This window comes from Homo sapiens, chromosome 4, assembly GCF_000001405.40.
Source record: "Homo sapiens chromosome 4, GRCh38.p14 Primary Assembly".
NCBI classification, from domain to species: domain Eukaryota; kingdom Metazoa; phylum Chordata; class Mammalia; order Primates; family Hominidae; genus Homo; species Homo sapiens.
The window spans coordinates 142,768,639-142,793,944 of record NC_000004.12 but is presented as its reverse complement, the minus strand read 5'-3'; the positions used below and the strand labels follow the sequence as shown (position 1 = coordinate 142,793,944).

The 25,306-nt window shown below is 36.9% G+C and overlaps 1 protein-coding gene and 2 long non-coding RNA genes across 13 annotated transcripts in view; 2 read left to right on the top strand and 1 right to left on the bottom strand.

Annotated features, from left to right (window-relative positions):
* Positions 1 to 5,503, top strand: part of USP38-DT (USP38 divergent transcript) — a 396,420-nt gene extending 390,917 nt beyond the window's left edge. The window contains exon 4 of the long non-coding RNA NR_185979.1: positions 4,720 to 5,503. This is a non-coding gene — a long non-coding RNA (USP38 divergent transcript). The remainder of the gene's footprint in view (positions 1 to 4,719) is intronic.
* The window catches only part of INPP4B (inositol polyphosphate-4-phosphatase type II B), an 823,376-nt gene that overhangs the window by 52,591 nt on the left and 745,479 nt on the right, over positions 1 to 25,306 (top strand). The gene's annotated exons all lie outside the window — the stretch shown is intronic.
* Positions 2,501 to 25,306, bottom strand: LOC105377457 (uncharacterized). The gene is made up of 4 exons (XR_001741433.2): positions 24,946 to 25,306; positions 19,554 to 19,795; positions 16,388 to 16,655; positions 2,501 to 2,616 (listed from the first exon to the last, which is right to left on the bottom strand). It is a non-coding gene; the product is annotated as an uncharacterized LOC105377457 (long non-coding RNA).

Below are 25,306 nucleotides of genomic sequence, written 5' to 3'. Positions count from 1 at the left end.
TATATGAATATGGTACATCTATCCATTTGTTTAGTTTCCTTTAATATTTTGTAAAGCTTTATAGTATTTTCAGAAATGCATTGCATATATTTTGTTAAGTGTAATCTTAACTACTTTGTGGATTTTTTTTCATGCTATTTTAAAGTAGCATCTTTATTACATTTTCTGACTCCTTGCTGCTGGTGTTTTGAAATGCAATTGGTTTTATATTGTTTTGTTTTCAGTAACCCTTCTAAAATGTTTTATTAATCCTAGTAACAAATAGAAAGTGCTTAGCTCTGCACCCTATTCATTTATTTTTTCTTTTGTTTGATGTTTGAAATCACAGTTTTATATGCACAATTGATTAAAGTGCTTGGTATTACTGCCATCCTTTGACTAGGACTTTGAGGCCTCTGAGGAAAATCCTTACAGATACATTTTCTTACTTGCAGGGCTTGAACCCTAGCTGCTGCAACAAGCATGTCATTTGCTTTGTTTTGCCGTGAATTCTTTTTGTTCCACTGATCGTTGCTTTGGAATATGCATCCTGCTCATAGTTCTGCTTCTCTATTCAGCTTAACACTAACTGAGTTTCTATTGTGGGTAAATATTGGTCCATACAGTGGATTGGATGCTAGGGATACAAGAATGGACAAGTCAGTTCTTGTTTCCTAGTAATTTAGAGTCTAGTGGACTTTCTGGCTGACTTGTTCCTTATTAATTGTTTATTGCTAAGGGTAATTTATCTTCTTCACGAAGTTCCACTTCTGATGGGCAGTTACTAGAAGCAAAACATCCTTGTGGGTATTCCATATGTTTTTATCTTGGGGATTAAACAAATAAACGTGTGTAATTGATCGGCCCATCCCTGATTCTGTAGCACTTTTGTCATTTGCTCTTTACTTCAGAGGGTATCTTGGGATAGTCAAAGACTTAGAAGATGAGTATTTCGATGGAATGGATGTTGGGTCTTCTACCTCCTGAGTTTGGTTGCCAATGTCTATCTAGTAAAGGGAGCATCAGGGCCAAGATTGGGGTATAGAGAACCTTACATGGCCCAATCCATTTTGAGATCTACTTTTGATAATTTTTTATCTTGCATTTCTAAAAATATCTTGGGCACTTCATTTTCAATTTTGAAAGAGCGGCGTTTGAATTAAGTTTGGTATTGTTTTCACATCAACCCTTTACCTATGATGTGGAGAGAATCCATCCCCACTGGCTTTGTGTGGCCTGGAAAGCTGCTGTGCTTAGGTGTGTAGTGATTTTTCCATCTGAGAAGACTCTCAGGACATTTTCCACTCTAAAATTAATGAGAATATGGCCAAGGGATATGTCACTTTTTCTGAGTACATGGTAATGGGCTTATTAGTGTCCCTGTTTAGACTCACCTTAGAGCAGTTTCCATAAGCTAAGAAAAAGACCTTGGGGCAATGATTAAATAAACTATCATATATTCATATGATGGAAAATCATACAGCACCTAAAAGCATTCAAAGAATTATTAATGTTGTGAGAAAATGTTTATGATAAAATGCTAAGTGAAATTAGCAAAATGAACCTTTGCTGTGTGTTTCATATTAATATTCACTGAGAAATATGAATGATTCTTGTATTTTTTCTGTTTTTTTCTCTTTTACATTTTCTAAAATTTATATGTATTGTTTTGCCAATTGGAGTAACATTTTCTAAAAAATAATAAAAATTTATGTATTTATTTATAGAGTCTTACTCTGTTGCCCAGGCTGGAGGCACCATCATTGTTCACTGCAGTCTCAAATTCCTGGGCTCAAGCGATCCTTCTGCCTCAGGCTTCCAAGTAGCTGTGGGACTACAGGCACAGGACCACCACATCTAGCTAAAATTTATTTTTTTAAAAGAAAATATCCCATTAATACAACCAGTGTGATGAACTGAGGCATTATAGGGTTATTTACTTGGGAAATTTAAGAATTTGATCAACTTTAAACAATTCTCTCTTGGTTACTGTAATTTGAAGTTCACTTCAGAATTTCTTGTCAACCATACGTGGGTGCCAGGATTGTTGGAGGTGGGCTGTGAGCAGTGCAATGCAATATGAGAACATCTGGGTGGGAAATCAGTATTTAGGAGGATCAATGACAGTGGCAAGTTTAGATAGCAGTCAATGGGTGAGTAAGTAGCAGAGCCTGGGTGTCAGGGTGCACACTTTACAGGAGGGTGGTGGCTCTAGAAATAATTATAGCTGAAAACGAACGCAAAAAGAAGCCATTCATGATCCCTGAGGATGCACCCAAGGGGGCCGAGGTATTAGGAAATTCTTATGTAGGAAGATATGGGTAAGATATTAAACTAGTCACTGAACTGAAGCTAAATCATCAAGAAGAAATCAAGGCCCATGTTAGTGGCAAGACATGATATAGGCCTATTTAAAGCCTTCATGCTGAGTGAACACAAAATAAACTGCGTCATTCTAATCCTCCCCAGTCTATCTACCCCTTGCTGGCTGCAGTCTACACACACCTTTCATAGAATTTACCTTATGTTTGAGCAGTAGACAATGAGCTAATGCTATAGGCAGAATCTCATCTTAATTGCTGCTGTTATAATCTCTGACCCTTTAGTATACAGCCATTTCCTCCTCCTGGAAAATTGCTGAAATGAAATGAAATGAAACAAAAGCTCTTATAGAACAGCAATATTTAACAGTCCCTTTACACACAGCAGTAAATTTCTGAAATGAAGCCTCCATGCTTTGAAATTAAGCTTTGGTGATAAAACCAGAAAGTCATGCCCTTTCTTCAGCATCTGATTTTAGTCAGATCATTGCAATATTCTCTATCTCTATTTCCTTTCTATAAATTCATGATATATTTTTCTCCAGCTTTGAAGTCCAAGTTCAAAAGATAATAATGTATGTGAAAACATCAAGTTTCACCAAATAGTTATGTTTTATATAGATGCTAGGTATTAACTATTATTCTTTAATTAGAAGTTCTTAAATGTGGGCAGGTTTCTGAAAACTTGCAATGGAGTTTGTGTTTGGTGTTAGAGAGTGGGAGTGGGATGAAGTGTGGGGTTCATTTACCGGTGCACCCATTTGAGATGTTGGGCTTCATATGTCTCCCTTTCAAGGTCTTAAAAAGAAAAAAATAGGACATTGCTGGAACTTGGTTTATTTTTAATATAAGAAAAAAAGGACCTCAATTTAGAATAACATTCTTTTCTGCATCATATAGAAATAGATATTAATATATATTTTTAAATAAAGCAGTTTAATAGTTAATCAGTTTAATTACATAAGGTTTGTTTTTGTTTTTGTTTTTTGTTTTTTTCCTTCAGTTTGTTTCTTTCTCCTATATAGGCCTTGGGCTTTGAAAATCTATTAAAACTTTTCTAGTTTCCATGCCAACATCTACTATTTTTTGATGTTTTGATTATGGCCATTTTTGCAGGAGTAAGGTGGTATCACATTGCGGTTTTGATTTGCATTTCCCTGATCAGTAGTGATGTTGAACATTTTTTCATATGTTTGTTGGCCATTTGTATATCTTCTTTTGAGAAATATCTATTCATGTCCTTAGCCCACTTTTTAATGGGATTGTTTGTTTTTTTTCTTGCTAATTTTTTGAGTTCATTGTAGATTTTGGATATCAGTCCTTTGTCAGATGTATAGATTGTGAAGATTTTCTCCCACTGTGTGGGTTGTCTGTTTACTCTGCTGACGGTTCCTTTTTAGTTTAATTAAGTCCCAGCAATTTATCTGTGTTTTTATTGGATTTGCTTTTGGGTTCTTGGTCATGAAATTGTTGCCTAAGCCCATGTCTAGAAGGGTTTTTCCAATGTTATCTTCTAGAATTTTTATAGTTTCAGGTCTTAGATTTAAGTCCTTAATCCATCTTGTGTTGGTTTTTGTAGAAGGTGAGAGATGAGGATCCAGTTTCATTCTCCTACATGTGGCTAGCCAATTATCCCAGCACCATTTGTTGAATATGGTGCTCTTTCCCCACTTTATGTTATTGCTTTGTTGAAGATCAGTTGGCTGTAAGTAATTTGGTTATTTCTGTGTTCTCTATTCTGTTCCATTGGTCTACATGCCTTTTTTTAAACCAGTACCATGCTGTTTTGGTGATTATGGCCTTTTAGTATAGTTAGAAATCAGGTAATGTGATGCTTCTAGATTTATTCTTTTTGCTTAGTCTTGGTTTGGCAATGTGGGCTTTTTTGGTTCCATGTGAATTTTAGGATTGTTTTTTCTAATTCTGTGAAGAATGTTGATGGTATTTTGATGGGAATTGCATTGAATTTATAGATTGCTTTTGGCAGTATGGTCATTTTTCCAATATTGATTCTACCCATCCATGAGCATGGAATGTGTTTCCATTTATTTGTGTTGTCTATGATTTCTTTCAGCAGTATTTTGTAGTTTTCTGCAAGGAAAATTACAAAATATACCTAACCTCCTTCATTAGGTATATTCCGAAGTATTTTTTTGAAGCTATTGTAAAAGGGGTTGAGTTCTTGATTTGATCCTCAACTTGGTCACTGTAGGTGTATAGAAGAGCACTGATTTGTGTACATTAATTTTGTACACTGAAACTTTGCTGCATTAATTTATCAGTTCTAGGAACTTTCTGGAGGAGTGTTTATGGTTTTCTAGTTAAACAATCATATCATCAGCAAACAGTGACAGTTTGACTTCCTCTTTACTGATTTGGATGCCCCTTATTTCTTTCTCTTGTCTGATTGCTCTGGCAGGACTTCCAGTACTGTTTTGAAGAGGAGTGATGAGAGTGGCCATCCTTATCTTGTTCCAGTTCTCAGAGGGAATGCTTTCAACTTTTTCCCAGTCGGTATTATGTTGGCTGTGGGTTTGTCATAGATGGCTTTTATTACATTGTGGTATGTCCCTTGTATCCTGATTTTGCTGAGAGTTTTAATCTAAAGCGATGCTGGATTTCATCAAATGCTTTTTCTGCATCTATTGAGATGATCATCTGGTTTTTGTTTTTAATTCTGTTTATTTGATGTATCAACTTTTATTGACTTGCGTATGTTAAATCATCCCTACATCCCTGGCATAAAACCCACTTGATCATGGTGGATTATCTTTTTGATCAAAAATTGGATAAAGAAACTGTGGTATATAAATACAATGGAATACTACTCAGCCATAAAAGGAATGAATTAATGGCATTCACAGCAACCTGGATGAGATTGGAGACTATTATTCTAAGTGAAGTAACTCAAGAATGGAAAACCAAACATCATATGTTCTCACTCATAAGTGAGAGCTAAGCTATGAGCATGCGAGGGAACAAGAATGACACAATGAACTTTGGGGACTCAGTGGGGAAGGCCAGGCAGGGGTGGGGGATAAAAGACTACAAATTGTGTGCAGTGTATACTGCTTGGGTGATGGGTGCACCAAAATCTCACAAATCACCACTGAAGTACTAACTCATGTAACCAAACATCTCCTGTTGCCCAATAACCTATGGAAATAGAAAAATTTCAATAAAAACGTTTCTAGTTTCTCTAATATCTTAAAGACCATTCACATGTTACTAGTAGGTGACATGGCAGAACGTTTCTTATAAGGCTTTGGAAACCCACATTTTAGTATCAGGTTTATCTTAGAAAGTCCATCTTCTATTCTTTTATATGAGCATTTTTTAATCTTATACTTTTACTACTTTCAATATGTTTTATAAAAAGTTAACTAAAATTTTATTTGAGAATTATCTTGAATTTTTTGGAATAAAGATGCATTATTAAAGTTATTAATATTGCCTATTTTTTAAGTTATTATTTGCTCTAAATGTACTAAGTGTTTATTGGCTTGAATATTATAATTGCTATGCTCTGCGCCACATGGGTCAGCGTTTTTGAGACACTGTAAACAGGATAATGTCTATATTTTATAAGCTGGCTTTAAGGCTTCCCGCAACCGGAAGCAATCCAGTTGCTCCCATCTGAACTCCCAGGGCTTTCCTCCACTTCCTCTGAATTGCTCTACTCTCTGTGCTCATCACATTTCTGCCCTCTCCCCCTCCACCTCTCTAAATCTTGCACTAGTTTCTCGGTGACCTATTTTCTGATTCCTCAAGTCTACACCAGTCTCTCAGAATGTTTATAACAGTTATATTTACTTGGTGCTTATTGTAAATTACCATTTGCCTTTTTATGTGTGTGTTCCTCCACCTCCATTTTGATAGTAGATTTTTTTGGAGGGCAGTCACTATCTCCTGTGGGATTTTTTTATTCTTTAAACACCAACTTACTACTTTACCCAAAGCAGAATTTGGATATAAATTTGTAATTAACCATTGTAATTCCCAACTATTGCTGCATAAACAGGCACAGCTGACAGCTCAATGTATAAAATAAGTTGGTAATATGAATATGAATGAAACCCAGCTTATAGGTGTCTCAACCCATTTTGTGCTGCTAAAACACAATACCAGAGACTGGGTAACTTACAAAGAAAATAAATCAATTTTTCATAGTTCTAGAGGCTGGGCAATCCAGTATAAAGGTGCCAGCATCTGGAGAGGGCTTTCTTGCCACATCATCCCATGGTGGAAGGCAAGCATATGAGAAAGAGTAACAGGGGCCAAACTTGTTCTTTTATAAGAAACACACTTCCACAATGATGGTATTAATCCATTCATGAGAGCAGAGACTGCATGGCCGAATCCCCTCTCACTAGGCCTCACCTCCCAGCACGGTTGTATTGCAAATTAAGTTTTTGACACATGCTATTTGAAGGATAAATTTAAACCCTAGAAATAGAATTTCTTATTATCCTGAACCTGACATTTATTTTAACAGATTTTCTTTTTAGAACTGTTTCAGATTTACAACAAAATTGAGAAGATAGTACAGAGAATTCCTACATATCCCATGCACACAGTTTCCCTTATTTTTAACATTTGATATAATTAACCAACAAATATTGATAGATTATTATTAACTGAAGCTCATAATTTACACAGATTTTTAAAGTTTTTACCTAGCATGTATATAGTTTATTTTCCGGGATTCTATCCGAGATACCACATTATATTTACTTGTCATACCTCTAGATTCCTCTTGATTGTGACAGTTTCCCCCTCTTTAAATTTTTGACAATTTTGACAGTTTTGAGGATTACTGGTTAGGTATTTTATAGTATGTCTCTCAATTTAGACTTGTCTATTGTGTTTTCTTGATTATACAGCAGCTATGCTTTTAGGGGCAGCTCGGAGGAAAATGACAAATGTAGAGTGCCTTTTTTATCATACCATATTGAGGGTACATATTGTCAACATGATTTATTCCATATAGACCTTCATGCACCTGGCTGAAATACTGTGTGTTGTGTTTCTTCACTGTACAGTTACTTTTTCTCTCTCTCTTCATTTTCATATCAGTCCTTTGGAAGGAAATCACTGTATTCACTCACAGTTAAGGAGCAGGGAATTATGTTCCACCTCCTTTAGGGTAGAGTATCTACATACATTATTTGAATATGTCTCTTATCCCCTGCTTTTATTAATTTATTAAGTCATTTATATCAATATAGATTCTTAGTTAATTATTTTATGCTTTGGGTTATAATCTAATATGAATTTATTTTTTGCTTAAATTGTTCCAGCTTTGGCCAAACGGAGCTCTTTAACTTGTCTCCTCTGCTCCTTTGGTATAGTCCCATCAATATGAGGTTTTAGTTTCTGTTTTTGAGCACTTTCTTACTTACTTGGACTACAAGAGGCTCTAGCCTAATCTTGGATATTTCTTGCCTCAGTCCTAGAATCAACCATTTATCCAAAGAGCCCAGGTTCCTTTTAGTTGAGACTGGTGTTAGAAATCAAGATTTGGGTCCTATGGATATTTGTTTTTGCTGGGGTGTCATTTCATTTAGGTCCTCTCAGTTGACAGAAAAAAGAAATATGTTTATATATTAACCTGCATGCACATGCACACACTTCACTTACCTTTTGCTTGTATGATTTCAGATGAAAAGTTGGATATAATATTTATCCTTATTTCTCTAAATGCAAGGTGTCCCCTCCAACCCCCCTGGCTTCTTCCAGTAATTTCTGTCTTTGGTTTTATTTTGTTTGAATATGACATGGCTAGGTGTAGATTTTAGGGGATTTATCCTGCTTGGTGTTCTCTGAGCTTCCTGAATCCACGGTTTTGATGACTGTCATTAATACTAGACAGTTCTTCCCCCTTGGTACTTTAAGCATCTCTTCTGCTCCTTTTTCTTTTTCTTCGTTTTCTAGTATTCCAATTGTATATATGTTATATTTTTTGAACTTGTTTCACAATTCTTGGATATTCTGTTCTTTTTTCTCTTGACATTTTGGTTTTGGAAGTTGCTATTATTATATCTTCAAACTCACGGATTCTTTTCACAACCATGCCAGTCTACTTACAGGCCATCAAGAGCATTCTTAATTTCTATCATCGCGTTTTTGATTTCCAGCATGTTCTTTTGATTCTTTCTTAGAGTGTTCATCTTTCTGCTTACATTATCCATATACTCTTACTTGGATACTTTTCTCATTAAGGCCCTTAATATATTAGTTATAATTATTTTAATTTTTTTATCTGATAATTCTAAACTGTTTTATCTGAATCTCATGTCACAGTTGCTTTATGTCTTCAGACTGTGTTGTTTCTTCCATTTAATCATGACTTGTAATTTTTTATTGAAAGATGGGCATGATGTATTGGATAATAGTAAATTTAGGGGGAAGTTTTATGTTTTTCTGACAAGGAACTTAGCTGTGTTTAAAGTTTGCTATAGCTATAGGTACCAGAGGCTTAAATTTCCTCTAATTTTCTTGTTGTTTTCTCCTCTGTTGTCTTCGAGTTTCCCTGAGAACTCCTTTTTGAGTAGAATCTGTGTCTTCTTGATCTTCTAAATGTAATTCACTGTTACTATGCTGGAGCCCTGTTGACATTGCTGTACAGGTTTGAGTAGGGAGTGTATTCTATAATGTTATGATTAAGTCTGTCTTTTAGTAGGCTGTGTACCTGGGCTGTTACCTCCACAAGTATTTCTTAGCTCTTTTTTGTTATCGCTGTAAGTGAGACAGGAAGCCTAAAGGGGGCTGTTTTTGAATAATGACCCTGCTCTTAGGTCAGATAAAGCTCTGGCAAAGTCTTTTCTGGAAGACTTTGGTATGAGGAATGCTATGGATGCATTGTAAAAGGGTTACTCTTCTCTTTTCTCTGAAACAAACAAACAAACCAAAAAAAAACATTTTTCTCAGATCTTTACTGTGAGGACCTGTTTGGGTTCCTGGAGGTAAAGTCTACCAACTTGTGGGGTCTTCTTAAATTTGGTCTCCAGGAGTTTCTCACTCTCAAGCTAACCTGCATGTATCCTCCAGCAATTCATCAAAATTATCAGTTAAATGCTTCTATAAATTGATGGCTCCAGCAGCTTTTGCTCCAGGTAAGCTCTTCTTGGTTGTGACTCTATGTATTTGCCTGTCCTTTCAAATTCTGGGGTGGTGGTTTGCCCTGTGACCTCAGTTTTCTGGTTGGTATAAAAAAAGTCCTTGATTTTAATTTTTATTTATTTATTTATTTATTTATTTATTTATTTATTTATTTATTTTTGAGACAGAGTTTCTCTCTATCACCCAGGCTGGAGTGCAGTGGCATGATCTCAGGTCACCACAGCCTCCTCTTCCTGGGTTCAAGCAATTCTCCTACCTCATCGTCCTGAGTAGCTGGGACTACAGGCACATGCCACCACGCCCGGCTAATTTTTGAACTGTTAGTAGAGACGGGGTTTCACCATGTTGGCCAGGCTGGTCTAGAACTCCTGACATCAGGCCATCTGCCCGCCTCAGCCTCCCAAAGTACTGGGATTATAAGCATGAGCCACTGTGCCTGGCCACATTCTTGATTTTTAGTTTGTTCAGTTTTTTTACTTGCCCTAAGCATGACAGTGATGACTTCTAAGCTCTTTACATGCTGAAGGTGAAACCAAAAGTCTCTGGCATTTTTTTAGATTGAAAAGTCTTAAAATTTCTCCTTCTTATAAACTAATTTATCTCATTCTTTATAGTCCAATGATGTGCCTTTACCTGTTTGCAAACATTCTGTCTTTCCTCTTACCCTGCTCTACATTCACTATTTGCCACCCAGAATCTAGTACATTAGGTGCTTAACCCACCTCAATAATTGGTAAGAAAGAGGTGGGAAGGATTGGGAGAAGCAAGTAATACGCTACATGAAGTGTCATTACACTCTCTATTCTTTTTAATGCATATTTCTGTCATTTTAATGTTTTGCAGAGTACACAGAGGATTCTAAATTTCTGTTTATCATAATCCCAGTGTTGCAAAATGTGATATTTAATAAAATTAATCTTCCACAAGGGATACATAAAAGTGAAACTAGAAACTAAAAACTAAGAGAGAAGAGGGGAAAGGAAGCCAGGTCAATAAAAACTGTCTATGCGTGGTGCTTCGGTACTCCCCATAACATAAATATTGCCAATATGGAAGATACCCAATTCCAATTTAATTTAACATAAGCTTGCTTTAAAAAAGGTTAGCATTTTTTCATGTGTTTTTTGGCTGCATAAATGTCTTCTTTTGAGAAGTGTCTGTTCATGTCCTTTGCCCACTTTTTGAAGGGGTTGTTTGTTTTTTTCTTGTAAATTTGTTTGAGTTCATTGTAGATTCTGGATATTAGCCCTTTGTCAGATGAGTATATTGCAAAAATTTTCTCCCATTTTATAGGTTGCCTGTTCACTCTGATGGTAGTTTCTTTTGCTGTGCAGAAGCTCTTGAGTTTAATTAGATCCCATTTGTCCATTTTGGCTTTTGTTGCCATTGCTTTTGGTGTTTTAGACATGAAGTCCTTGCCCATGCCTATGTCCTGAATGGTAATGCCTAGGTTTTCTTCTAGGGTTTTTATGGTTTTAGGTCTAACGTTTAAGTCTTTAATCCATCTTGAATTAATTTTTGTATAAGGTGTAAGGAAGGGATCCAGTTTCAGCTTTCTACATATGGCTAGCCAGTTTTCCCAGCACCATTTATTAAATAGGGAATCCTTTCCCCATTGCTTGTTTTTCTCAGGTTTGTCAAAGATCAATAGTTGTAGATATGCGGCGTTATTTCTGAGGGCTCTGTTCTGTTCCATTGATCTATATCTCTGTTTTGGTACCAGTACCATGCTGTTTTGGTTACTGTAGCCTTGTAGTATAGTTTGAAGTCAGGTAGCGTGACACCATCACTGGCCATCAGAGAAATGCAAATCAAAACCACAATGAGATATCATCTCACACCAGTTAGAATGGCAATCATTAAAAAGTCAGGAAACAACAGGTGCTGGAGAGGATGTGGAGAAATAGGAACACTTTTACACTGTTGGTGGGACTGTAAACTAGTTCAACCATTGTGGAAGTCAGTGTGGAGATTCCTCAGGGATCTAGAACTAGAAATACCATTTGACCCAGCCATCCCATTACTGGGTATATACCCAAAGGACTACAAATCATGCTGCTATAAAGACACATGCACACGTATGTTTATTGTGGCACTATTCACGATAGCAAAGACTTGGAACCAACCCAAATGTCCAACAATGATAGACTGGATTAAGAAAATGTGGCACATATACACCATGGAATACTATGCAGCCATAAAAAATGATGAGTTCATGTCCTTTGTAGGGACATGGATGAAATTGGAAATCATCATTCTCAGTAAACTATTGCAAGGACAAAAAACCAAACACCGCATGTTCTCACTCATAGGTGGGAATTGAACAATGAGAACACATGGACACAGGAAGGGGAACATCACACTCTGGGGACTGTTGTGGGGTGTGGGAAGGGGGGAGGGATAGCATTAGGAGATATACCTAATGCTAAATGATGAGTTAATGGGTGCAGCACACCAGCATGGCACATGTATACATATGTAACTAACCTGCACATTGTGCACATGTACCCTAAAACTTAAAGTATAATAATAATAAAATAAATTAAAAAATAAAAAAAATAAAAGGTTAGCAAGACAAAAGTTAGAATAAGTCATTTCAGCTGAACCAGTGACCAGTAAGTAAAGCAATGGACTTTCTGTAGTAATTCTTTAAAGGGCAGTAATTAGATTCTTATTGTTACATGCTTATTTTCTTATGCAAAGTCCATTTCCATGGGGCTTTCTTTTATTTTAGTATTATATTCTATATGTTTAATATTGCAGTATCAGTGGCACACACCTTACGTGAAGATGTAAATCCTAATTTATAAAGATTTATTTTCCACTGGGTGTGTAAATTCTATGATCCTTTGCAAAATCATCCAATTTCTAATTTTATATCTTTGGTTTTTTTATACTTCTCCAGTTTCACTAAATCACAGATGGGAAATTTTCATTAATTCTACCACAATCAATCCAATTCATGTTTTTATATTATCGATGCCAGTAAATGGTCAGAATGTTTCTGGTGGCAGGAAACTAATCACTTCTTAAGATGATCCATTCCATAGTGAACTACCCTGGGTGTTACATGGTTCTCTCATAAAGTGACTGAAAGCTGTTCCCTCCTTTTTCTGTCTTTAAGGAGTGAGAGCCTGTTCTCAGCAGTACAACCAGTGGGATGTGGGGAGGTGAGCCCTCCCTATGGAAATAGGATCGACACTTGAAAGATGACTCATCAGCAGAGGAAACATGTGGACAGGAGAGTGCAAGTCCCCTTATGATGTGGAGGGAGAAGTACTCCCTTACATCCTCATAGGAGATTTGGAGGGAGAAGTACTCCCTTACATCCTCATAGGATAAATCTCTAAATGAAACACCTCATCCTGTTCCCACTTTCCTAACAACCACTCTTTCATTGACACCCAGCCCCATCACTATCTTGTTGAGAATCTGCCAAGTTTTAAGAATATCTCGCATGTACCTAAAGAACCGCATTGTTATAGCACTTTTTAGCTCACAAATTCAGTGAGTATTATGAGATTGATTTCTCTAACGCGTCTAAGGTCTTGAGATAAATGAGCTCATAGGCACTTTCTATATTCTCATTAATTTTATATTCACAACCGAAAAAGAAGCAATCACATAGCTTCTGACACCTTTATGAGAAGTATATTAAGATCGGATTCAGTCTAGACAGAATCAAATTTTGGTTAAAATTGGAAATTCTCTTTTTTTTCTGTTTCGAGACGGTGTTTCACTCTGTCACCCAGGCTGGAGTGCAGTGGCGTGATCTTGGCTCACTGCAACCTCCACTTCCCGAGTTCAAGCAGTTCTCTGCCTCAACCTCCCGAGTAGCTGGGATTACAGGTATCCACCACCATGCCTGGCTAATTTTTTGTATATTTAGTAGAGACAGGGGTTTCACCATCTTGTCCAGGCTGGTCTTGAACTCCTGATCTCATGATCTGCCTGCCTCGGCCTCCCAAAGTGCTGGGATTACAGGTGTGAGCCACCGTGCCTGGCCTGGAAATTCTCTTTCTTGAGTTTATTAATGCCTTAATTTCTTAGTGCTAAGTGTATGTGTTTTCAGCATGTATCATGTTAAACGTGCTGTGATTTTATGTTCTATTTCTTCCATCATTTCGTATTTTGATTAAGTCCTGTAGATTCTATTGCTGAAAATTCATTTGAATCCATTTCCTTTTTTCAATTTCCTCTGATATTAAACCTTAGTTGAAACTCTCATGACCACTCTTCTGGGATATTTTTGAAGGTCACAGATGAGAAAGTCTACTTGCTTTTATCATAGTGAAGATACAGATACTTAGCTTTATGGAATTGACATTAATAAACTGTGAAAATAATGTTCACTTTAAAGAAAAGATGTAATTGTGTCTAAATTGAACCTGAACTTATCTAAGCTGTCATTGAGGTGGCAGAAGTTGCTCTATTCTTTCTTGGCTGTGAATATAAAAGTAATGACATTTATTTAGTAAATATGGGCTCATTTCTCTGAAGTGCACTGCGATTTGGACACATCTTCTCTGATCTGCTGCAGCCTTATTATCTGGCTCAACTGCCTTGAAGTTTAGTCTCTGGTTCCCTTTCACTCCCTTTTGTGATCTCTGTCACTGTGACTCTCTTCAACCACACAGGTTTAACTATTAGGTTGGTGCAAAAGTAATGGCAAAAACCTCAATTACTTTTGCACCAACCTCATAGCTTTTCTTGGTTTTCTTTTTATCTTTCTTCCTTTCCCACTTTCATTCCTTTCCTCCCTTTATTCATTTTTATTTTGTTACAATCAAATGTTTAGTTTTCTGTTGTTTAAAAACCAGATATACCCTCCTGATCTCTTAGATGGAACAAGAACCTGTGTCTCATGGTTTTAGCCACTACCTTTTATGTTATAAACACGGAATGAAGGACAAGAGGGAAGGGATGCCATACCAATATTGACCTCAGTGTACCATGTTGGTACAAAATAATAAATAATAATAGCTGCGAGTCATGGATTTGTAGAAAGGATGGAAGGAAAAACTTTCTGATAAGATAGTACATGTATCACTAATGTGTCATTTTCTTTTATTATAACTTCCTTTGGTCTGTACTCTTGATGGTTTTAAATGTTATGAATTCATGTAAACTCCAAATCATGTGAAGGGGCATTCCAAAATTTTGTTTATAAATTACTGACTTGGGACTTTATATAATTAAAACATCCTTACCAATGTTGTTTGGGGTCCTAGGATACCCTAAAAAATATCATTCAACACACAAAAATGAATCTAAGATATATATTTAATACTTTTAGTACTTGTTACTGGCATTTATACAATTTTCTCAGAAAAAAATATTGAGTTTTATCTCAGTATGCCAAGGAGATTTGGCTGTGATTCTGTTAGGGACTGAGTTGGACGGGGTTGTAGGAGTGAGTCACCTAAAAATCAGAGGCATGTTAACACTATTTATGCATATGGAAAGTTACCTTTTCCATTTACATAAAAATATGCAAGCTGGTAATTTGGCTTACTCTCTAGCAGCTACATTGATTCCTATATTCATGGGGAGGGACAAGTATAAATGCTTTGAATTTAGACCCTCAATTGTCTGGTTGTATGTATGAACCAATCTCACATCCTAAATTATGTCATGTGTTGCTTACATGAGATTTTACATGGTCAGGAAATCACAAGTCATTAAAAACTGTAGATCCAGAAAGAATATATTGAAAATGAAATAACCCTCTACATCCTTGGAAGGTAAACTATATGAAATTCTTTCTAAAATAATGATTTTCAACAAAGTAGTGGTGGTAAGTTGCATGCTTGCCTTGTCAGAATCATAAACAATGTGAGAGACTGCTTTAGTTCTTAATATCTCCTTCCAACCCCCAAGACACACTCAGCTGAGAATCTTCTGTGGTAAGTCACTGATACTGATGGAAGCGTGCCATATTGCTCAGGAGTACTGGGTAGTGAAAATTCTCTAATGATGGGTTTATTAAGAGAAGGGTAATCAAATGACAGAAATCTATGTTGGAAAACCTTGAGATGTTTCAGAATTTGTGCTATAAAACTTTATGTAACTTGCTGATTTTTTAAAATAATAAAACAGGAATAGATACCTGAAAACAAGTCATGAGTCTCAAAAGAAATAATTTTTCTTGACCTGTAGCCAGCGTGTTCTTGGATGATTAAAATTCCTATATTAGTTGTGCTTGGAGAAAAAAAGATGAGTAAGGAAGGATGGGTGCTTGAGGCTGATAGCTTAATAAAAAGCAAAGACTGAAAGGAAGACAAAAAAGTCAACATATATTGAATACCTATTGCTAGGTCAGAGACTTCCACATATATCATCTGTTTTAAATTTCACAATTCTCCGTACTGAAGCTTACAGCATGTTGTTTTCTCCAGATGAGTATGTTGAGGTTCAGCTTAAATAATTTTCTCAAGGCATGGCTAACATGGTGTAATAGTAAAATCTGGCCTCATGATTTTGAGACCTGTGCAGTTACACAAGGCCACGTTCTTAGATGGGCCCCAAACTTAGATGGGCTCTGCTGTCACTGTCTTGAAATTCTTAAAAATTTTTGAACAAGGAGCCCACATTTTCATTTCATACTGAGTTTTACACATTATATAGCCAATCCTGCTGGTAGGCTGTGCCACTCTTTCCATAGATAATCTCTAAAGACACACTGTGAAAACTCTTCCCTGTAAAGCAGATGTAGAGATAGAGAGCCCCAGGGCAGACACAGCCAGAACTTTGTGTTCTGGAATCAAGATTTAGGCTTGGGGGATGTGGCTCCCTCAGAAGAAGAATCATTGCCTCGTATGATTGTGTAAGTAGTTTCTGGGTGCTAATGTGGCTTGATGCATTATATCAGTTTTCTATGGTTGTGTAACAAATTTAGTGACTTGAAACAACACATGTTTATTACCTCACAGTTTCTGTGGGTCAGGAGGTTGGGCGTGGCCTACCTGGATCAGAGGCTCAGGGTGTCAGTAGGCTGCAATCAAGGTGTTGGCTGGGCTGCATTTTTTTCTGGAGCTTAGGACCTCTTCCAAGATCATGTGATTATTGGCAGAACTCAGTTCCTTGGTATTGCAGGACTCAGGCCCTCAGCTACTAGAGGCCACCCACAGTTTCCTGACATGGGCTCCTCTCTCCATAGGCAGTTTACACATGATTGCTTCTTTAAGGCCAGCAGGAGATTCTCTGATTCTCTCTCTATCTCTCTCCAGTCTTCTGTAATGTAATTACAAGAGTTACGCCCTATCACCTTTGCCATATTCTGTTGGTTAGAAGCAAGTCATAAGGGAGGAGTTCCTGCCAAGGTCTTAACACCACAAGGCGGGGAGTACTGAGAGGTCACCCTAGGGGCTGTCTATCACATATAAAAGTCCATAGTTGTAGAAAGCTCTGCCTAGTTGAGCCACTGCCTTAACACAGACTGGTAGGACCACCAAATTTTGGACATGCATTCATGAGTGTAAAGAAGGCAGCAGGGAAACTCACTCCCCATCTTCACCTCTATCATGTAAAATTTTTGCATTGCTTTTTAGTTGCTTCAGGAATAAATCAGATTAAAAGCAACCTTGAACTGAGTTCCAGTCACTACTCATGATCATTTTCAAATTCAGGCCAGAATTCATGTGTGGACTAGCTCACTAGAGCTTTCCTAGAGCTTAATCTCAGGTTTGTGTGACTCTAAATTTTATACTCTACACTGGGATAGATCCAGGTCTCTAGGCTCTGAAATTTATACAATTTGTGGTGTCCCTTTTGAGCAAGAGAACACAAAATTATAATGTACAATATTCAATATAAATAGAATTTTTAAAATGGGAGGAGAAATCACAACAAATCATTCAAACCTTGGAGACTTGGGTGTCTATTTTCTAAGATATCTAAGCACTTTGCCAGAAATGCTTATGTAGAAATACTTCCTGTTTGCAGCCCAGCTTCCTTGCATATATCTGGAATATTCTATAGTTCCTGGCAACTTCCAATACCTAAGAAAGCCAGTGCAAATGATGAGCACTGAAGCTTCATTAGCTTCTCTGGAATTGTGCCTCTGCTTCCCACTATATCCTCAATATTCAACAAGCAGTCCATGGACCAACAGTGTTGTCACTTATGGGAGTGTATTAAAGTGCAAAATCTCTGGCCCCTTTCATACCTGCTGAAGAAAAACCTTCATTTCAGTGAGATCCTTGGTAATTATAAGCACATTAGTGTTTAAGAAGCACCACATTATACCACATACTGAGCAGCACTACTTCCTCTATGAGCTACACTCAACTTGTGTTTTCTTGGTCAAAGTGAGTGGGTAGTAGACCTTAGCCCACAGCTGATAACAATCTTGAAAAGAAATAGTAAGAGCAAGTCAAACTGCTTTGAATTAATGCAAGTCTCCAGGGTCAGACAAATTACATCGTTGGGGTAGAGAAATAATTTATAGCTGTGATTAGAGAAGCACATATCAGCGCTACTCCATATATGCTCTATATGGAAAGACATAGATATATTTTAAAATACAAAGATCCACCATATCAATAGGCTAAAATGAAACATTGTATGATCATATCAGTTGATGCAGAAAAAGCATTTGACAAAATCAAATACTCATTTATCATAAAAACTCTTACCAAATATGAATAGGAGCATTCTCAAAATATCATCTGCAAAAAAACCTACAGTAAACATCATGCTTAATAATGAGAAATGAGATGCTTCCTTCCTAAATAACATATCTGATAATGGACTTCTATCTAAAATATATAAAAAACTGAACATTCAAACAATCTGATTTTTTAAATGGACATAAGATCTAAATAGATATTTCACTCACTAAAGAAAATATACAGCATCGTGGCTCATGCCTGTAATCCCAGCAGTTTGAGAGTCCAAGGTGGGAGGATTATTTGAGCCCAGGAGTTCAAAACCAGACTGGGCAACACAGTGAGACCCCATCTCCATTAAAAGGAAGGGAAGAGGAGAGTAGGGGAGGGGTGGGGAGGGGAGGGGAGGGGAAGGGAAGGGAAGGGAACAAAATATGCAGAGGGTAAGTAAGCATACAAAAGGATACTCAACATATCCATATGGATATAATAAATGATTTAATAAGTAAATAAATGGCAGACAAAGACAAGTATCTGATGCAAATGAATTCTAAATATTATATGCTGATACTCTACCTTCATGAAGTTTGAGCATAACTATCCATTCTTTAACTGTGCTCTGTATAATGACATTGGTTCAAGAGTACAGTAAAGAAGAATGCATGGAGGAGAGTAACTTTACAAAGGAGAATCCTGACAACCACTGTCTCACTGAATGATCAAGGTCACCATCAACAGTGATAAATCATGTTCATGGTATGTTCCCTTGATACAGTATGATGAAAATAGCATTTTTACCATTGGTTTACTTCCATAAGCCTATAACCCCAGTTTAATTATAAGAAAATCATCAGACAAATTTCTGTTGAAAGACATTCTACAAAATACTTGACCAGTATTCCTCAAAAGTATCAAGGTCATAAAAGACAAGGAACCCTGAGAAACTGTCACAGTAAAGAGGAGCCTAATGAAATAGCTAGATGAAATCTGGACATTAAAAACTAAGGAAATCTAAGTAAAGTATGAACTTTAGTTAATATATTATATCAATATAGGTTCACTAATTGTGACAAATATACTGTACTAATGTAAGAGGTTAATAATAAGAGAAACTGCATGTGCAAGGTATATGGGAATTCTGCCCTATTTTTGCAATTTTTCTGTAAGTCTAAAACAGTTTCAAAATAGGGAACTCATTTAAAAAAGAGACAAACATGATGTGCAGAAGACAAAATCAATAAATAACTCTGGTAACTTGTAAATGGAACAGATGATTAAAAAATGAAAGAGATAATATTGATGAAGTACTTATAATCAAATAAGTGTTTATGAAGTTGTTGTAGGTGAATTACTTATAATTACTGCCTTCAAATATTTTAGATGTTGTATGTAAAGGGATCATGCTCACTTTAGTTTCCAGTGGCAGAAAAAGAACAAATTGATCAAAGTTCCATGGGAGCAGATTTCAACTTAGATTGAAAGAATAATTTTATGATTATTAAGCTGTCCAAATATAACTCACCTGCCTTTGGAGAGGATTGCAGCACTACCTTTTAATGATCTTCAGACATATGCTAAAGAAATGTCATAGTGAAGAACAGTTGTACAAGAATAAGCCCGAAGGTGTCTTCATCTCAGGTGCGTTAGCCAACACCTCCATGATTGCACTGGTTCAGACAGCTCCAGGCAGGCCTCAGAAACAAGTTATTTACTTATGACATCCAGATGGCAAGTTTTTCTCTGATCATTTTGGAATTACACAGTCTGGATAGAAAGGGAGAAATAATTGTTGAGCACTGTTTGGAAAGGATTAAAGAAAAGCCTCTGACATTTTATTTATGTACATGCACTCTTCTTTTCTCTTAAGAAAACTAACAAAAAGTTAAAGGCAACAAAATTAAGACATAAAACCCACCATGGTTTTAATATTGGATGTTATCATCTCAGTTTTAAATACTATCTGGTAAAATGATGCTTGAGGCCAATTCCAGTGAATAGGAATAACTTTTGGAAGGCAGCGCTACTGTTATCCATGGGAACAGATGGCTCTTACTCTCCAAAAATCTAGATCAATTTCATTCTCTTCTGGGGAAACAACAACAGCAGAAATTTTAGTCACCACCCTTCTGATAATACTGGAGAAATAGTGTTTTCTTGCTTATGTGTTTCCATGCCTGTGCATTTCTTCTTCACACATCTCTACTTTGTGACTCATGCTTTAAAAAATTACAGAACCTCAGGAATACAGAAATGAATATGAAATTATGATGTCTTATAACACATCTACCCTTTAAGAAGTGTATTGCATTGAAGCTCAAGCTGCTTTAAAATTTTAGCTCTTCCAGTAAAAATAATTGAGCTTGTAGATAGTAAATCTCACATCAAGAAATATCCTAGTATACCGAATGTATAGAGAGTAATGTGTGTGTGTACATTTGTGTGTGTGCATATGTGTAGCTCATGTGAATTTTAATAATAAACAGTATATTCCATTAGACAGTTCTGCCACTTTAAAATATGAGTACATGGTAAGTAGAAAATCTGTCATTTATAAGCTCTGTAATTGTTGGCAGTGGTTTGCATACAATAATAAATGTCAATAAGGTAATTTTTTAGTAGAAGATACCAACCTTTGGATTTTATGTCTGCTCTTGTGCCACACTAGAGTTCTAACATTTTTTGCTAATATTATTTATTAATATTAACTCATTTCTTCCTTATCTCTAGTCTAGGAGGATGCTTTCATTTTTACTTTCCAGCATCAGTTTCTAAGAGCATCCATTTCCTAAGTCCTTAAGATTTAGACCCTATTAACAGTTGTACTGTTAGATTGTGTCTTTATTTATTTTTTTAATTTTTAAACTTTTTTTTAGACAAAGTTTCACTGTCACCCAGGCTGGAGTGTAGTGGTGCAATCTCAGCTCACTGCAACCTCTGACTCCCGGGTTCAAGCAATTCTAGTGACTCAGCCTATCAAGTAGTTGGGATTAAAGGTGTGTGCCACCACACCCAGCTAATTTTTTGTATTTTTAGTAGAGACAGCGTTTCACCATGTTACCCAGGCTGGTCTTGAACTCCTGAGCTCAGGCAATCTGCCTGCCTTGGCCTCCCAAAGTGCTAGGATTACAGGCGTGTGCCACCACACCTGGCCAGATTGTGTCTTTAAAGCATCAACTTTCATAGGGTGAATTTTCCTTCATACATTACCCACACTCCTTTGGACAGCCACTTTTATTATTTCTTTACATGTCAATTTCCCTATGTAGACCTTAGGCTCTTTTACTGTTGGGTTTGTGTTGTGTTTATTCGTTTATTCCTTCTTGTGCCGTGATGGTGTTTTGCATTTGCTTTTGCACCTTCCTGCTACTGCCCACACTGGACTTCAGCTCCTTCCCTTTTCTTCCATCTACTGATATCTATGCATTATTTAAGGGTCATCTGAAATGCGATAGTCTGGGAGAAACAGATTGTTCACAGATTGTTCAGTTGGAATTAATCACAACTTCAACTCCACTTTGCTTCATTCTCTTTCACAGCTATTTCCTTCTGCTGTGTATTTTACTTATTGATGCCTCACTCCCACCCCAGAGACACACGCCTCCACACACTCTGCTGTAAGCTCCTTAAGGACAGGCCTCCCAGTTATCCCAGCACAGGATTAGTACCTTCTTCCCACATTATAGATACCTCATAAGTGTGAATTGAATGAATGACACATTTCGGGGCCTTATTAAGATCGTTTCAAAACCATCTATTCCCTGATGACTCACAAATTTTTATCTCCAACCTGGACTTCTCTTTACCTATTTTGTACTCACATATCCAAGTATCTACTTAATCCCTTGGCTGTCTAATTAGAATCACAAACTTAACATGATCAGAGAACTCTTGATTTATTTTTCTCTTCTTTATCTCAAGTAAAAGTCCATTTACAACACTGCAGTACTGTTCTCTCAGCTCATTGACAAATCTGTTTTTCTTCAAGTGAGAGAGAAGCTCATAGAAAATGGGAAGTTATTGAAGACTAACTTCATTATTTTAGCTCTTTGAACTCAGCCTTCAAATTCTGGTATGATGTGTGATGTGAAAAAAAATTACATTAAAAACTGACTCAGTAATCCTTGCAGAATACTGGTAACAGTTGTTTGCTTAGTTGGTTGGTTGGTTTACAAAATCAGATCACTTCTTGGTCACAAGAGTTTCTCTTGTGACCAAGACAAATGGTTTTCAGGTACAACCATTTATAGCACTGCAGTACCGCTCAGGCCAAACCTGAGCATAAGCCTTGATTTCTCCTTTCCACACTGTATTCATGAATAAGTCCTGTCAGTACATTACCAAAATATATCTGAGTCTTACATATTTTTACCATCTCCTTTTCCATAGCTTTGTTCCAAGCCACCATCATCTCTTACCTGGAATAGTATCACCATATTCTTTCCTGAACTACATTCAGAGCCTCCTGATTGGTCTACCTGCCTTCATTATTACTTCCCTAAAATTGGTTCTCCATACATTTGCCAGAGAAACTTCTCTAGGATGTACATCAGATCATAACATTCCCGTTTTAAAACTTCTCCAATGGCTTCTACTTAGAATTAAATGTAAATTTCTAACTACATTATCCAATGGCCCACTTAATCTGACCCCTAAGTAACTTCTAGCTTGTCTCTCTCCTCTTTGTTCATGTGGTATGGTGACATTTACCCACTTTCTGTCCCTCAAACATGACAAGGTAATTTTTTCTTATATAGGAACTTCGTCCTTGCATTTTGAGCTCAAAATGCTTTTCTTTCAGAGCTTCCCCTTCAAGTCCTCAGAAGTCTTCCCTGACCACCTTGGATAATGAGCATCCTATGATTTCAAGTTCTCTGTAGCCCATACTGGGTGCAGGATGCATTTGTTACCCGCACTTTCCAACTAGAATGAGATATCTACAATAGTGCTTGCCTTAATATGTATTTATTGACTGACTAACTGCTAGACTAATGCCATCTCAGTGACAATCTGCCTTGCTGTCTAGACGGCTGGATCCTTTTCTTGTGTTAAGAATTGTGCCCTGTCTTGTAGCTCTCTATGCACATCACAGCCTTTTCTTATGCTTGACTGTGAGCCCCTTGGAAGCGGATACCACACTTGTATCACCACTGCCTCTCAGAGAATGCGGCACAGATGGAGGCATGTGTTTTCTCTTTAATTCTGTAATCACTCTTTCCTCTTTCATTCTTTTTCTAATGGAATTGCTTGTTTGGTATAGGAAACTTAAATTCCTATTAAAACCTTTTAAAACTGAGATTGGGGAATTGATGAGGCCTATAATTAGTAAAAGAAACTCTGACCTAAGGTACTTGCCTAATGAAAGAATGTGGTAGGAGGGCAATGAGAATAGTTTCACTTAATAGAGGAGATGAAGATTTGATGCTCCTGGTGCCAGTTTATTAGGCAGGAAAACCAATGCTATTAATTCACTGAAAAAAAGGATCTGTCAGAAAAGTTCATCTTCTCTATAAGCTGAGAGACTGGCTTAGGTCTTCTCACAAATTACAGCCCTTTTACTTATATTAACATGATTAAATGTTTATCTTTATTATAAAATTTTAGATAATATAACAATATTATACATGGAACATTGATATTGGACCAAGGTTGATGGCTTTACTTCCAACCAATGGAATACTTCAGGTTCTTTGGCAAACTCTTGTGACCAAGAAGTGATCTGATTTTGTAAACCAACCAACCAACTAGGCAAACAACTGTTATCAGTATTCTGCAAGGATAACTTAGTCAGTTTGTAATGTAATTTTTTTTCACACCACACGTCATACCAGAATTTGTAGGCTGAGCTCAAAGAGCTACAGTTGGTCTTCAATGACTTCCCATTTTCTATGAGCCTCTCTCTCACTTGAAGAAAAACAGATTTGTCAATGAGTAATAATACCCAACGTGTGGGTCCAAAGGTATTTGCACTTTTACTTTTATGATTTTATTTTTTATTTTTTTGAGACAGGGTCTCACTCTGTCGCCCAGGCTGGAGCACAGTGGTGGGATCTCAGCTCACTGCCACCTCTGTCTTCCTGGCTCAAGCGATCCTCCCACCTCAGCCTCCTGAGTAGCTGAGATTACAGGGGTGCACCACCACACCTGGCTATTTTTTGTATTTTAGTAGAGATGGGGTTTTACCATGTTGGCCAAGCTGATCTCAAACTCCTGACCTCAGGTGATCCATCTGCCTCAGCCTCCCAAATTGTTGGGATTACAGGTGTGAGCCACCATACCTGGCTGGTATTTGCACTTTTAAAGTAAAAATTCCTGAGAAGAACAATCACTTAAGAGTAATGAATCATCCATAGGGGAATTTCAGACATAACGTTAATTCACATCATATCATTAAACACCCATGTGCCATGGTCCTAATGTCTACTCTAACGATAATATAGTAAATTAGCGGAGTTAAAAAATGGTTGCATGTAGCTTAGTTATAGTTTACTAAAATATCGCAGGTGTACTTATTAAGGTCTGGTTTCACTTGGGGATCCAGAAAAATCCTGCAAAGTGCCTTGCAGAGCATCGTGGGGACCTCTCTGTGCCTTTCTCACCTCCCTTTGGCTGAGTTCACAATGGACACAAGTAGAGCAGCTGCAGAGAGCATGCACTAGGTAGACCCTTCAAAGCCAACAGATTCAAAATGAGCTCACTATTTTCTTCTTCCTTCTTTAAGACGCATGTCCCTTATTTATTTCCTGTTTGGTTGACAGCATTGCTAAACAAGCAACCACTTAACACAGAAACCTGGGGTCATCTCAGGAACATGATTCTTTAATTTCCATGTATATCCAATCATCAAAACTTATAAATTTGACCTCTTCTCTTCACTACCACTCTTCCAGATTAGTTCAGATCTTCACAACATTTACCTTGGGCTATTGTAATAGAATACCATCTGATCCTTTCTGTATCCAGTATAGTTTTCTACAAATCGATCCTCCATACTTCTAGCAAGTTCCAAAAAACAAATCCTTTCCTTGTTCCCTGTTGCCTGTAGAATTAATCCCAAACTAAGGCAAATGTAGCTCTTTATCCTTTATGACCACATCTTGACCTCTTCATGGTACAGCTTTATTTTCTGACAGTCAGCCATGGAATTCAATGTCTTGACCTTTTTGATCCCCTGGCTGTTCTCTAAAAGCTTCATGTTCTTTCTTGTTTCTGTGACTTGCTTCTGTATATGTTGCTCTCAGTACTTGAAATGCACATCTCTTGCTATGTGCCAGCTTT